This window comes from Homo sapiens, chromosome 9 (genome assembly GCF_000001405.40).
Source record: "Homo sapiens chromosome 9, GRCh38.p14 Primary Assembly".
In the NCBI taxonomy this organism is placed as follows: Eukaryota; Metazoa; Chordata; class Mammalia; order Primates; family Hominidae; genus Homo; species Homo sapiens.
The window spans coordinates 134,275,855-134,291,964 of NC_000009.12; positions in this window are offsets into that span (position 1 = coordinate 134,275,855).

Genomic DNA, 16,110 nt, shown 5'->3' on the forward strand with positions numbered 1-16,110 from the left:
CAGTGCGGTGACCGGCAGGCAGGACCAAGAGAGGGAGACGCCATGGGGGTGGGGGGAGAGGAGAAGCGCCCCCACCCCGCGTCCCCAGGGCTAAAGAGAACCCTGCTTGGAGTGAGTGAGCCAGACTGGGGGGGCGGGGGGCCTCAGGGCATTCCCAGCCCTCCACATCTCAGGGCAGCTTTCCTTATGCCCCTTCATATCTAAGAATAGGCACATCCAGGATGAAATCAATAGTGCAGCGCTTGGGCCTCCCCTCCCCACCCACCCTGCTGCTGAGGGTCCCTGCTCCATACCCTGGGGGGCCCAAGCTTCCAGGGGTCACGATACCCACTCCCAGTCTCACTGAGGATGGTGCTGGGACCCTGCAGGTATTTTAGAAGGCAGATTGGAAACGGGTATCCAAAGCATTTTCCTTCAGAAGAGTCACCCCAGGAGGTGCCCACTGGCTGTGGAAGGAAGTGAGCCTCCCGCCGCTAGTGGTAACCAAGCAGAGGTTAGAGAAACATCTCTCAGAAGTCTCATGTCAGATTCAAGGCCACAAAGTGACCTCGGAACCCGCAGCCTCGGCATTGACCTCACGCCCGAAGGCCCCACTGCCCAGTGGATGCCTGAGGAGGCGCTCCCTGGCCATCCACCCCTGCCGGCCCCAGACTCAGGCCTCGTCCCCTCTCATCCCCTCTTGGGAAACCTGACCCTTGGGCTACTTGAAAGAAGAGAGGAACTTGGGTTTGATGTTTTGAAGAAGTGGCTTTTTATCAGAAAGCCCTCTGGGAGTCTGGGGCCCACAACCAGTGACATTATCGCTGCTGTTTCAAGGAGGGAAGAGAACTTAGGCTGATAGCTATTGAGATTTATGGCTTCCCCTGAGTCTAATTGCCTCGGAATCTTTTTAACAGTTGGCCTAAGTGGTGCTAAGAAGGACAACAGTGGCTTGGTGGCAGCAAGTGCTCCCTCTGCCTCTGTCCCTCCCTCCCTCCCTACGTCCCCTTTCTCTCTCTCCTCTTTCCCTTCCTCCCCTTCCCTTTCTCTCTCTTTGAGTCTCTCTCTGCTGGGGCTGGGGAGGCGCAGGCAGCTTCTGGCATCCAGGTCTCTGCATGCCTTGGGCTCCGGATGCCGTGGCTGGGGGCCTGTAGGGGATGGGGTGAGAGGGCGGTGGCAATCCTGGCCGGAGTCGGGCAGGGCTCTGACCTCTCAGTAGGCTGCCCTGCAGTGTCTGCACTCCTCAAGCCTCCAGTCCCAGGGAGTGGTGCCCATGCTGTTATGTGCCGCCAGTAGGATGCTGCATTCAGCAGGTGCTCAACACATGCACACCCTGGTTGTGCCTTGGCTGGCTGAAGATCTGTCCTGTGGGAGCAGAAGTGGGACCTTGGGGTGCTGCTCAGGTCAAATAAGGAAGAGCTTTCTAACTGCTGCCTCAGTGGAAGTGAGACACCTCCACAGTCTCCAGAGGCATGTAAGCAAAGTCAAACAACCTCTGGCATGGAGGCAAGAGGCAGGGCTTCCGCGCCAGGGTGAGGCAGAGCCAGACTTACTGGGGTTTGTTCTGGGTCTCAGAGCCTCTGCTGGGCTCTCCTAGGCAGTTGCCATGCCCCTGTCTTCTCCCCTTGTTCATTCATCAGACAATTCAATGCCAATCACTCTGGCACTTCCCATGCCCCCCTTGCCCTAGAGGCTTCCTGGGCTGTCTTCTCTGCCCAGCCTCCATGTGCACTACGATACCTGGTGGCCGGGTCTGGAGCACTTGGGTTCACTGGTGATGGAGGTTGCTGGGCAGACTCCAGGGCGGGGTCAGGGGCCGCCTCCTCCCTGAGGCAAGCTGTGTTCAACGCCATGCCCCTGGAGCCAGAGGCGACTGTGTGCCTGGATGGGGCAGGTGGCACTAGGGGGCCACATGGACCCCAGATGGTAAAGATGTAATAGTGCCAGGTGCCAACCTGGTTTCCTTGGTGTTGAGTGGCCGGTGGGTGCAGAGGCAGGCTGAGTACAGGGTCTCCTCCAGGCATGGTGGAGTCTCAGAGGCTCCTGCACAACCAGCAGGGGCAGGTTGCGGGGAGACCCCCGGAGGACATCCTGACCCCTTGCAGCTCCCAAGGCTCTTAGGAGAGCCGGCTTGGTCCTTTGCTGTGGCAGGGCAGGGGACTTGGTTTGCTCCTCTGCTGAGCAGTGACAGCTCATGTGTCCTGAACACAGCTCTGCTCACTGCTCTCCAGTGCCTCATGGTGAAGGCAGGGCCTTGGGTATGGTGCCCAGGTCCTCACTCCTCTAATAGGCCACTCCCTGCCTCCCACTATGGGTGAGGAACTTCCCCACTTAGCCGTGTTGGGCCTGGGCTTGGGACTAGCCTGGGCTCGGGGACAGCCAGTTGGGTGAGTGGTGAGGCCGACCCGTGCACGCTTCTGCAGCATCTCACTGTTTTATGCCCTGCTGAGCTGTCCCAGCTGAGCATGTTCCACGGAGCCACTGGTCCAAGGATGATGAGGAAATACAGGGAGCAGACCTGAACCCAACCTGCAGCCTGGCGGGGGGTCCAGCCGAGCACCGCTGAGCCTTCCAGGGCCACCGCCCACCCACAGGCCCACAAGCAAGGAAACCACCATTTGCTGTCAGAAGCCACTTAGTTTTGGGGTATTTTGTTACGCAGCAAAAACTGACTAATACATGTGGGTACTATTATCATCATCCAATGCCACCAATGAAGAAACAGGCTCAGAGAAGCCAAGTCACTCTGCCAAGGCCACCCAGTTCTCAAGTGGCAGACTGAGAGTCAAGCTCAGGCAGTCCCGCCTCTCAACTATCACTCAACCTGCAATTCCCCCTTCCAGGTAGAAGCCTGCCCAGCTCACTGGGCCTTTGGACAAACCTTCAAAATCTGTCTCTGGATTTGAAGGTTTCCGGGCAGACATCAAGACCAGATACATGTATTTGCCAAATGCCTCTCCTATTGCCCCGACCAGGATGGCTTCACTTTGTCCTTCAACACCATGGTGGCCCCCAGCTGGACCTCGGCTGTGGCCTGCCTCCAGTCCAGCCTCCACCAGCACCTAGGGACATGCTGACAGCGTCAATCTCACCCTACCACACTCTGTGGCTTCCTGGCACTGCAGGATCCAGTCCTGGCCCCTGGCATCTTATTGTGATCCACAAGGCTCTGCAACCTGCAGCTTGCACATCAGACCTCACTCACACACTCCCACACACGCATAGCCACACACTCACACACACTCATTCACACACTGCCACATCCTCACCCACTCACATCACACATCACACACACTCACACTCACACACGCTCATTCACACACTGCCACATCCTCACCCACTCACATCACACACTCACACACTCACACATGCTCATTCACATACTCCATCCTCACCCATTCACATCACACAGATTCACACACACTCACACATGCTCATTCACACACTCCCACATCACACACTCACACTCACACATGCTCGTTCACACACTGCCACATTCCCACCCACTCACATCACTCAGATTCACACACACACGCTCATTCACACACTGCCGCATTCTCACCCACTCACATCACACACACACACTCACACACGCTCATTCACACACTCCCACATCCCCACCCACTCACATCACTCAGATTCTCACACACACACGATCATTCACACACTGCCACATCCTCACCCACTCACATCACACACACACACTCACACACATGTTCATTCACATACTCACACTCACACACGCTCATTCATACACTCCATCCTCACCCACTCACATCACACACTCAGATTCACACACACTCATACATGCTCATTCACACACTCCCACATCCCCACACACTCACACACTCAGATTCACACACACAGGCCCATTCACACACTCCATCCTCACTCACTGTCACACACTCAGATTCACACACTCACACACACTGATTCACACACACTCCTCATATTCCCCCTACACCCTCACACACTCAACCCAGCTCCAGCCAGGCTGAGCTCTTGGCTCCTGGAACACCGGGGCTCACCCCTCCTCCTGGTCTTTGTGGCCACCCTTCCTCTGCCAGGCGTCCTCCCTGGCCCTGCTCCTTCACCTGAGCTTGGCTGGTCACCTCCTCCTGGAAGCCTTCCCTGGCAGCAGCCCCCGCACCCTGCACGTACATCCTGCGTCTCAGCAGACACCCATGCCTTCCCTTCATGGTGACAGGAGCCCATGCCCAGGACATAGCAGGAGCCCCTCAACGTGGGTGAGACACTGTTCACCACAGAGCATTGCTGGGAGGACGGCTTGGGCCCCAGCAGCCCCCGGGAGTGGGGAGCGGTCTCCTCTGGAAGGGATCTCCCAGACTCCGGCGTCCTGGGCCTCCTGCAGGCCCAGGGGCTGCTCCTGTCTGTTTATCCTCAGGGCCTCTGCTCCCCACCAGCTCCCTGTGCCCCCCACCAATGCATCTGACTCCTCCTTTCTCCCTAGGTACAGACACAGTCTAGAAGATTTGTCCCCACCAAGATCCAGACACAGGTGACAAATAAATGGAGTCAGAATATCTTTAGGCCAAGCTGCACTTTGCCACCATCAGCGGTCACAGGGGCAGCCATGGCCCAAGGGTTCCATGGCTAGGTGTGGGTTGCAGAAGGACAGTCTCATGACCCACGTCCTGAGGGACCTCTGGCCGTATGGTGGCCTCAGGACGGTGGGCTCTCAGGGGGCCCGCAGGTCCCTCACCTCCCCACGGAGGCCTCTGGCCCTCCATCTGCATCAGGGTACCTGGCCCTGGCAAGGGTAGGGCTGGCAGGATCTTTGGGCAGCAGGAGCAAGGGAGGGGCCCGGAGGGTCCGAGGTGTCCCTCCGCCGTGGGCCAGGCAGACACACGAGCATGTGGCCACCGACACGCAGCACGGGGCCTCACACAGAGCTGGGTGAAGGAAGCCAGACACAAAATAAGAAACGAGCTTGTTTGCCTAAAGCTGGACACAGGCAAAGGCAGCCTCAGATATTGGGAGTCAGGAGAGGGGTGTGCGGGTGTGATTGGGAAGGGCCCGGGGGGCTTCGGGTCTTGCAGGGGGTGGAAGTACCTGCCCTTGGCCTGAGTGGTGCTTACACAGACCATGGCTTTGTGACAATTTACTTATTCTCTGTACACTTCCCTGTGTGTTTTCCATATCTTGATGAAAAAAATAAAGCGTTACACTTCAAAAGGAGGGTGGTGCCCCAGGGAAGCCCTTGGTGACCTGCAAGTCCCAGCTGCCTCCCTGGTGTTTGGGCTCCAAGCTGGAGCCGTCCTCTCTGCCCTAAGACAGGGGTCCGGGTCCGGCCAGGTCTGTCAAGGCTACCTGCCTCCCCCGTCTCCAGGCTGGGTCCAGAAACGTCTGTGGGGGCAGAGGTGAGGACGGAGGTGAGGACGGAGATGGGGGCACAGAAGAGACAATACCTTGTGGGAGTGGCTGGCCAGGGAGGAGACCCCTGGAATGGCGGGATGGGGCCTCCAGCGGACGCTCCTGAGACAGTGCCCCGGCAGCTGCGGGAGAAAAGAACTCCCTGAGTCTATCGGTGCCCTGGTGACCGTGGCTGACATCGGAACAGTCCTGGTGCTGGGCACGAAAGCGCGCTCAGGTGAGACTGAGTGTCTCCGCCGGGTTCGTGTGTGTGGACGCACACACGCATGCACGTTTGTGCTTATGGATGCACATATGCAGTCATGCGTGTGTGTGTGTGCACGTCTGCTCGTGTGTGCATGTGTCCACGTGTGTGCGCTTCGTGTCCCTGCCCAGTTAACACAATGCACACAATTGCCTCCAAAGAAATGGGGATGTTCTTTAGAAAGAGGATGCTTTTTTGCATTTCAATTGACCGCCTCAACAATGTCCGTTTAATTAGTGTGTTTTGAAGGGGAAATGAAGGAAAATTATAACTCATCCGAGAAAATGGCTTGTACGTGCTCAGCTCTTCTCGCGGGTTCCGGTGGAGCCACCACCAGGTCCGGCAGAGCCTGGGCCCAGTGCCGTCCACCCAGAGGAGGAAGGGAAGGGCTGGCATGGTCCCTGGGGTGGGGGACATGGGGGACAAGGGCAGGTGGATGCTGCAATCTATCTGGTGGCCAGGCAGTGAGTGGGCTCAGATGCAGAAGCCGCAGGCGGTACCACCCCATCCCTCGTGAGGCCATTGGGGAGAGGCAGTGTGGTTCAGCAGAAAGAGGACAAGGGCTCACTCAAGACCTGAGTTTGAATACTGGTTCTGCCACTGTCATCTGCGAGGACCTGCCAAGACTTGGTTTTCTTGTCTGTAAAAACATTTGTAAAATGGTGCTGATGGCTGTGAACCCAATAAAGGGATGACCAAGAAAGGGCTTTCTAACATGCCGGTCTCAGAGGGACGTGGCAGGAGGCATCTCGAAGGATCCCGGGAGAGTCCCACATTTGAGCCGCGGCTTGGCTTAGCCGGGGCCTGGCTCCCTGCGTGCTCCTGAGTGCCTCCCGATGGCTCACGGCCGCCCTGAGCCAGCGGGTTCTGCCCTCACCCTGCCTAGGGCTCCTGCCTTGAGGCTGCCTCCAGCAGGGCCCTGAGTACAGGAATCGGAGGGATCCACAGACACAGCTCCCGGCCCCAGCCCTGGTCACGCCGACACTGAGGGCTCCAGTCTCTTCTCCAACCCCCAGACTCTGGGCTCTCCCCACTGGCTGCGTCGCCACCTCCTGAGCTCTGGCCTAGGCTGTGGTGGAGACACAGTTGGGGCCTCCTCCCTACACCTGCGCATCCCCTCTGCTCCTCTGGGCTCCCCTCTGCAGAAGCCAGAGGTCTGTGGGCAGCTGTTGCCTGACAGGCTCAGGAGATCAGCTCACATCGAGGGGTGGCTCACTGTGAGGGTAGGGACAGTACGGGGGCTCCAATTCTGGAAGAGTCAGAGGTTGGAGGCAGTCTGCATTTCCAGGGTCCCCAGAACCCCTTCCACTGGCAACCCCACTGTCCAGTGAGGAAGGTTGCCCCTGCCCCAGCCTAATGGACCCCTGTTCTCTGCCTAATGGAACTACGCCTTCCCCATTTGGAGGTGGGGAAACTGAGGCCCAGCAACGTGGAACCACTGGCCAGCAATGGCACCATTGGTAATGACAGGTCTGGGTTCAGGCCCCAACTGTCTGACTCCAAAGCCCCTTTGCTGTGCCGTCAGGAGGGCAGCAAGACTTGGGGCTCCCCACAGAGCTGGGGACTAGGACACAGAAGACTCCAAGCCACTGTTCCCATGTGTGTCCCCCCCTCCCCCCCCGCCTTGCCCTCTGGCCCACTAAGCGTGATCGGCTGTGTTGCTGTGGCTGGCGCGCCCGTGCCGCCATCCTGCCCCTCCCCGCCTCTGCTGCCAACCCTCCCAGCGCCGTGTGCCGACTGGGCCCGTACAGCTGCCTTCCTGGCCGCTGGCTTCCCCGAGCCCCATTGTTGGGCACCTGGGAGGTTTCCAGTTCTTTGCTGTATGAATAGCGTTGTTTTAACCATCTTGGCACAAGCTGCCTCTTTCCCCTCCCTCTCACGTTCTTTCCCTCTTGCAAGGGTTTGGGCACTTTCCCTGACACGTTCATTCTCTTACGCAGCCAGGAGCTGGCGGGACGCCTCCCAGGAGAAGTTGGCGGTCGACCAGGAGGCCTCAGTCTCTGCCTCTTGCTGCGGATGAGCCTGTCCTGGGAGCGTGGGGCTCCTGCCTCCTTGGCGAGTGAGTGTGCCCAGCATGGTGCCCATTGCTTTACATGCACATTGGTTCAGTGAGGCGAGAGCCAGCGTCCCCATTTCACACATGAGGACACTGAGGCTCTGAGAGGTTCAGCAATGACACAGAGGATGTAGGAGCAGCCAGACTTGACCCAGGCCAGTCTAAGCAGAGGCCAGGCTCAGTGCCGAGACCCTGTCCTTGGGAGCCCCGTCTACATCCACCTGTCCTTGTGCCCACTGCCCTGGGTTCACCCCAGTCCCCTTACTTCCCTGTCCCAGGAGGCAGGACACCCGGGAAACACAGGGGTCATCCATGCCAGACTGAGCCTCTCCCCGCTCCCACCCTAAACTCCTTCCCGGGGCTGGCAGCGAGCCCCCTGGCTGGGTCATCTGGAGGTGCCTCCTGTGAGCCACCCATCACACCTGCTCCAGGGCGGTCTATGTGGGCGGGGACCTGAGCTCCATGGTGGGCTACAGGGCAGCACTGTGAGGAGCCGTGTTGGGAAGCCCACGGCTCCCACTCCAGCGCCTCTGCCTCCCACCACCCCCAACATTGGCAAGAGCTAGTCGGACGGGCAGATAGGTGGATGGGTGGACAGATGGGTGGGTGGACCAATGGATGGGCGGTGAGAGGATAGGCTGAGAGGTGGTAGGATGTGCCATAGAAGCCTTGGAAAGTGCCACAGATGCCCTGAGAGGCTGCGTCTGCCAGGAGGGGAGCACCCCCCTGGACCCCATGCTCTGGCAGGTTGGAGGGCTTCCTGGTGATGGAATCTCAGCCCTCAACTGGACGTGGTAAGCCCAGACCTCCCAACTTGCAGCCAGGCCCGCTCCTGTACTGTGGCAAACATGACCAATCACTCAGGGCTCGCCCTCCCGCTGAGCCTGGCTCCCAGCCCTTCCTGGCACGCCGAGTCCCTCAGAGTCCCTCATGTGTCCTGGGATGGCAGGAGATGCCAGGGTGAGTTTCAGACATGTGAGACCAGAGGGAGCAGCTCCAGTGCAGCTCTGTACCCTGGCGGCAGAGGCTGAGCTCCGCCACCCCACCTCTGAGTTTCTACTGAAAACCCAGGGGCTGAAATGCAAGTGTACCTGGTGCCACCAGCCTGGAGAGCGCACAAGACCCCTGGTGGGGTGGGGCCCAAATTCATTCTCTGGTTGACCCCACCCTCCCTGTCTCCTTCACTTCACTTTCCACAAAGACTGGGAATCAGTGTTCACCCTAAAATGTCCAGGGCCACAGGTAGAGGCCCAGCTACGCGAGGGCATTGTTGGGGGGCTCTGTGCACTGTCCGACCACGCAAGGGCATCGTGGGGGGCTCTGTGCACTGTCTGACCACGCGAGGGCATCTTGGGGGGCTCTGAGCACTGTCCGACCACCTGAGGGCATTGTGGGGGCTCTGGGCACCGCCCAGCCATGCAAGGGCATTGTGGGGCCTCTGGGCACCAGCAGGGGTGCTTTGGTCCCCGTGTGTTTGTGCCGGTGGGTCTGGGGCGGGGCCTGGAAACCTGCATTTTTCACAAGCAGGGGCAGGGGCTCTGGGGACCACCCCCACAAAAGCACAGCCCTGGGTGGTCTGCTCCCTGGGGCCCCAGGACAAGGTGCTGCTCTCCCCTCATGGAAGGTGCCAACTCCTGGAGGAACGAGCTGGCCATGGACGTGCCCCCCGGAAAGCTCCCCTCACCTCTGCGTGTCCCCAGGACCCTCCAGCCTGGGGTGGGCGTGTCCTACTACAGAGTCATAGCTTGAGCTTCACGGACCTCAGAGTCCTGCAAAGACCCCCCACCAAGTGCTTCTCAAGGTGTGTTCCTGAGGAGGGAACCGGCACTGCTGCTGGGCCCGGGGCCGTGTCCGTTCCTCCGGGTGAGCCGCACCTGCCCGACACTCTGCCCGCTGTGGGATCTGTGAACCTCACTGGACCTGTGTCTGTGTGCGTGTGTTTGTGGTGTGTGTGTGTGTCTGTGTGTGTGTCTGCATGTATGGTGAGTGTGTGGTGTGGTGTGTGTCTGTGTGTGTGATGTGTGTCTGTGTGGTGTGCATCTGTGTATATGGTGTGTGTGTGTGTGTGTGTGTGTGTGTGTGAAGTGTCATGACTCATCTCAGAACCCTCACAAGGTAGAACCCAGGTATGCATATTTGAAAATTCTGAAGTCAGCTGGGCGTGGTGGCTCATGCCTGTAATCCTTGCACTTTGGGAGGCTGAGGCAGACAGATCACCTGAGGTCAGGAGTTCAAGACCAACCTGGCCAACATGATGAAATCCCGTCTCTACTAAAAGTACAAAAAATTAGCCAGGCGTAGTGGCAGGCACCTGTAATCCTGGCTACTCCGGAGGCCTGAGGCAGGAGAATCACTTGAACCCGGGAGGTGGAGGTTGCAGTGAGCTGAGATCATGCCATTGCACTCCAGCCTGGGCAACAAGAGCGAAACTCTGCCTCAAAAAAAAAAAAAAATTCTGAAGTCTACCCCAATTTTGAACCCCTGGTAATTCAGCCCCCTCATTGTTTTCATTTTAGGCCTTTTATTTATTTATTTTTAATTTTTCTTTAGAGACAGGGTCTAGCTCTGTCACCCAGGCTGGAGTGCAGTGGTATGATCGTAGCTCACTGTAGCCTCGACCTCCTGGGCTCAAGCCATCCTCCTTCCTCGCCTACTGAGTAGCTGAGACTACAGGCACGCGGCACCATACCTGGCTAATTCTTATTTTTTTTTTGTAGGTTGTGGGGCGTCTTACTATGTTGTCCAGGCTGGTCTTGAACTCCTGGCCTCAACAGATCCTCCTACCTTGGCCCCCCAAAACACTGGGATATACCTTTTGTGTATTGTTTTAAAAATGTCATATTGAAATATAACCAAACACATGGGTCTTTTCATTATTTGCTCCTCAGCATCACTTGGCCCCTGCACCCATCCCCCACCCCCAAACAGTGCCGTCTGCCCCCCAGACAGTGCCGTCCGTCCCCCAGATGGTGCCGTCTGCACCCCAGATGGTGCCGTCCGTTGCCCAGACGGTGCCGTCCATACCCCAAACGGTGCCGTCAGTCCCCCAAACAGTGCTGTCAGTGAAGCTTGCACTTGGGACTTGGCCTGGCAGAACGGCCGCCCCCCAGGCTTCCTGCAGCCCCGGGCCAGTGAGGCATTCTGTCCTGGGAGCCACCTCCCAGGTGGGGGCCGCTGTGCTGTCCGCTGTGGCTGCCCGCAGGCTGCCTCTGCCTGCCAAGTCCGCCACACACAGCCGTTGGCTCCCCCTGAAAGTCAACAGACCAGTTTTAGCAAACGTGGAAGCCACAGAAAAGCAGAAAGATGTCAACAAACTACCCGTTCCCTGCTCTGCCCCAGCTCTGCCACCCTCTGGACTGTCCTTTTCTGCATTCGCTTTTACACACAGTCCTGATAAAAGCACCCAACCCTTCCTCCGAACCAGGGCCATGCCCCAGGCCTCTCTATTCTCAGGACAACTTATGAACTGGCGAGGAAACTGACGAGGAAACTGAAGCACCAGGACAATTGCACAGTGGCCCCGGGGCAGGGGACAGGGAACAGCTAGGGAGCTGTGGCTCTGTGTGGACCCTGGTACTCTGAGCCCAGCTACCTGTGGGGCTTGTAGCCACAGTGGGAGGAAACACTTGGGAGAGGAGATGAGCGAGAGGAGAGCGCAGGAGACATCTGGGTCTCCCGAGAAGGTCCCAGGGCCCCAGGACCAGGCTGTGGTTCAGGCTGGAGTGTTTCAGAGTCCCTCGTGTATCCTGGGATGGCAGGAGATGCCAGGGTGAGTTTCAGATATGTGAGACCACAGGGAGCAGCTCAGTGTCACTTGTGCCTCAGTTTCCACATTAGTAAGGTGGGGCCGGTCGTCAGACCTACCTGGTTGGGCCCTCAGGAGGGCCCTATCAATCAGTTCTGCTGAAAAGCACCCAGAGCTGTGCCCAGGTCAGGCGAGGGCACGCCGTGGCTCCTTCTGGAACTGAAAACGCGTCTTCTGCTGCCTCGCTGGAGCTCGCCATCACCGCCCCCCCGCCCCCCCGCCCCCACCCCAGCACCCCTACTCACCGAGGCCAAGTCCCCAGGTTTTCTCCCTCCTGCTGCAACGGCAGCCGGTTGCTGCATCCGGCTGGGGCAGAGGCAGGGCCTAGGCTCCGAGGAGCTCCCATATAAATCACCCCGACGTGGCAGCAGGCTCAGAGCAGCAGGCCTTCAGGGCCCGCCGCACCTCACCCCCACCTTCCCTCCCGCCCCCGCCCTCCACTTCTCCCCTGGGCCTGCCTTTGTGGCCCGATCAGCGGCTGGCGGACACGGCTGTCTTCCAGGTGAACATTCCTTAGAAAAATGACTTCATTATCACCTTCAACGGCCTAGTGTTGGGGGAGGGATGTGTGTGGCCGAGAGGGGCAGGTGGGGTGGACGTCCCCTCCCATCACTCCTCCTGCAGCCGGGCCCAGGGTGGCAGGAAGGCCTGAAGCCCGGGCAGGCAGGGACCCCCATCCGGGCAGGCTGACGGAGACAGATCTGTGGGATTAAGGGGCTGGAGGGAAATATTACATTATGATAGCAAATCACTCGGCTGATTGGAATTTAATTACGTCTCTTTTATCTTGGTGACAGTCACGCACCTGGGCTCGAGGTCCTGGCTGTTGGAGCTGGGGCCAGGCTGCGGCTGGGTAGGGAGGCCTTGGCCCCAGGGGATTAATGAAGCAGAATCCTCCCCTGCCCCTGCTCCAGAGGAAGCCGCGAACTGCAACCCTCGCCTTCTGCTGGGGTGGGGGAGCCACCAAGGGGGCTGTTCCTGCAGGAGGATTGGGATCACAGGGTCTTGGCAGAGATGATGGTGGGGGTGGGATGGCCCAGGGGGTGTGGCCAGTCCTGCCCAAGTAAACCCAGGCAGGGCAAGCAAGCCGGGGCCAGACTCCGGAGAGAGAGGCCACCGCGGGCGACCCGGTCATCAGCACATACCTATTGGCCATCTTGGATGGATGGTGTGATGTTCCAGGTCCAGGATGGGGACTTGCATGGCTTTGTGGCACCCCAGAATGGGGCAGGACAGGAAAGGGGCTGAGCTGGCTCTAGAAAGGTTGGAGAGGGCCAGCTGGGCCTTCTGGAAGCCCCAACTATGAACATGCCATGTTCAGAAAGCAAAATCCTGCTAATAGCCACCTCTTTTTGAGGACAGACATATCTATGGATTTTTTGGAAATGGCTTTGATTTTAGACATTTTGACCGCAGACTCAATGAAATTCAATATTCTGGAGTTCCCATAGCACTCCTGCGGCCACGTTGTCCAGCAGCGGGGGATTCGCCTCCTGGAATGTGAGTTCACCAGAGGTCTTTGCAGAGCACCTCGGCTGGGTCTTTCATGAGTGGTGAGGCCCTGGCTGGGGGTTGCCCTCTTGGGTCTTGGTCTCCTCATCTGGAGAATGGGGTGAAGACCCCGAGCCTCCAGGTCTGGCTAGGGGCTACATGAGATGCGTTTTCAGTTCTATGGTGAGCCACGGAGCGCCCTCATCCAAGCTGGGCACAGCTCTGGGTGATTTACAAAATTAACTCGCTGAGCCCTTGTGAAGGCCCTGCCAGGTTGGTCTGACATCTGGGCCCACTTTACTAAGGTGGAAACAGGCACAGGCTGGTGGTGTTGCCTCCCCAAGGCCACACAGTGGCAAAGAGGCAGAGCCAGGATTCGGGCCCAGGGCATCCAGCCCAGATGTCTGCTCTTTGGGGCAGCTGTCTTGCCTTCTGTATCTGGCTAAATGCAAGTGCCCCCAGTGCAGACAGTATTAGAATCGTTGTCATTTATACAATGATGGTTCATTCGTCAAACTATAGGTACCTTTGCTGTACTAGGCAGCACAGGGGATCCGTGTGGAAAGGGGTGCATCTTGGGGAGGGAGAACAGGGTTCTCATGCAGGGCCCAGGGCATGGATTGAAGACACCCGGGTGCCCATGGCCCCGGGGACTCCCCTGACCCTCTGAGGGCCCCCTCTTGTGGTGGGGGTGCTCTGGGACTCTTTTGCTCCCCATTAGAGAATGTGGAGCTTGGGAGTTCATCACAGAGGGGACTGTCCAGGTACTCTGCCTCCCAGCTCTTGGCCATGGGGACTGGGTTGGGCGTCCCCGTGCACTGTCCTCCCAAGGGTCCCAAGGGGGGCCACGTGGGTCTGTCTTCTGGATGTGGGGCAGCCTGGCAGTGTGAACACTGTTTCACAGACTGGTGGACGGCTGCTGCATCACCCGAAAGGCGATCCAACAGCCCAGCTGCTAATGGCAGAGAGGAGAATGATGTTATTGCTTTGGGGACAGGGAGGGGGCAGGGTGGGCCTCCGTCTCCCACCCAGTTCCCAGTAAGGGGTGGACAGTTTCTAGAAGAGAGTGGGGTGGGGACGGGATGAAGTATCATTTGTGTGAGCATGTGTGGGGCACATGTGTGTTTGTGGGTGCACACGGATCTGCAGATGTGAGGGAATATGGGGGTGTACACAGCCTGTGGGGTGCACTTTGTGTCCTAGACACTGGTGTGTTACGTGCCCTGGTGCGTCTGAGGCCACCCACAGGCCTGTGCAAATGTGTGCCCAGAAACATACTTGACATATGTGCTCGAGGATTTGCACAAGGACCATGGACTTGAGGGAGTTTGGGGCACAACTAAGCTGGACAGGGAACCCTAGGTCTGTCACAAACAGCCTCTCACCTGAAGATAGTGGACATGGCAGAGCTGCTGTCACTGTCACCTTCACCTTCTGTGAGGACCAGTGCAGAGAGTCCAGCCCATTGCATAGGCTCACAGGCACCGTCGTCAGTGCATGGAGCATGACCCTCGTTCAGCTTCGTCCACCGTAGCTTTGCTTAGGAGCGTGTGCTGGGGTGGCACATTACTCAGGGCTCTTCGGAGAAATGAAGCAATAGGACGTGAGGAGGCTTATTGTAAGGAATTGGCTCACACAATGATGGAGGCTGAGAAGGCCCCACTCTCTGTCTGCACGCTGGAGACCCAGGAAGCCTGCTGGTGGCCTTCGATCAGATCCTGATGGCCCAAGAGCCGGGACCACCAGTGGTGTAAGTCTAAGTCCCTGGGCAGGAGATGACCCATGTCCCATCTCAAGTAGGCAGGACGACAAAGCCCATTCTCCTCTCCTCGGCCTCTGCATTCTATTCAGGTCTTTGCCAAGTCGGGTGAGCCCACCCACAATGGGGGACACCTGCTTTCCTCGGTCCAGCATTCAAATGCTCATCTCCAGAAACACCAGCAAGGACATACCCAGAAATCACTTCAACCAAACATCTGGGCACCCCGTGGCCCAGTCAAGTTGATACGTAAAATTAACCACCCCAGGTGGGTTGGGACACAAACATGTGGCCACTTGTCCCTGCTGGTGTGGGCTTGGGTGTGTGTGTATAGGTGTGTGAGAGCCCCTCAAGTTTCCTGGAGATGGACACATGTCCTCCTACATGCAGTTCTACACATGTGTGCATACCTGTCTCCACTGCAGTGTGACCAGGAGTGTGCGCGTACTCATGAGTACTGCTCTGGGTGGTGTGTTTGCACACTTCCGGGCTTGTACACCACACCTGTGCATGCAGGAGTGTGTGCACACAGGCATGTTTGTGAGGGCCCAGTACAGCATCTCTAGGGACCACCGGTCATTGCTGTGGGTCCTTCCCTCTCAGCCCCAGAAGGTTCACCAGTGGCCCAGACTTCTCTATGCAGGAGACACTGTGTGGACATTGAGGTCCTGGCCTCCCCTGGGGTCTTGCTGGGCCTCAAGGTGCCACTGGGAAAGGGGATCGCAGCCTCAGACAGGAAGGCTCGGCTGGGGTAAGGGGTGTGATGAACTTTGGGATGGCCAAGGGGCTACCAGGGAAGTGCCCTCTCTGCCTGAGACCTCATCACAGAGTGAGTACAGACATGAATAGAATTGGGGTGTCCTGGGGCCTTGGAGCCCTATCCCTAGCCCTCAAGGGAGGGCTGGCAGCCCACGGTGGCCTCCTCCACCCACTGCTGCCCTTCATGGAGGAGTCAATAAAGGCCCTGCCGGGATGGCACCAACATGTTTACTTCCCGCCCATGGTGCTAAATTTGTCCCTGGTGTACAAGGACGCTCAGTCTCATCAAAGGCCAAGAGCCTGCACCTGGAGCTCCTCCCAGCCAGTGCCGCAGCCACGGGGTGGGGCTGGCACCCAAGCCTCTCCTCCCCCAGGGAAAGACCAGAGACAGCCATCACCCCACTGGGCCGAGGCCTGCACGCGGCTGCTCTGGTTCTTTTCTGAGGGCCGGCAGAGGCAGCCGCAGCCTTTTGGAGCCTCTAGCATCAGGCAGGGCTGTGCTGAAATCCAGGATGGGGGCTTTGGGCAGCTTGCTTCACCTCTTGGTGCCTCAGTTTCTCCACCCCTGCCTTGGAGGCTTGAGGACAGGCACCCGTGTCCACGGCGTGGCGGAGCTTGGCCAT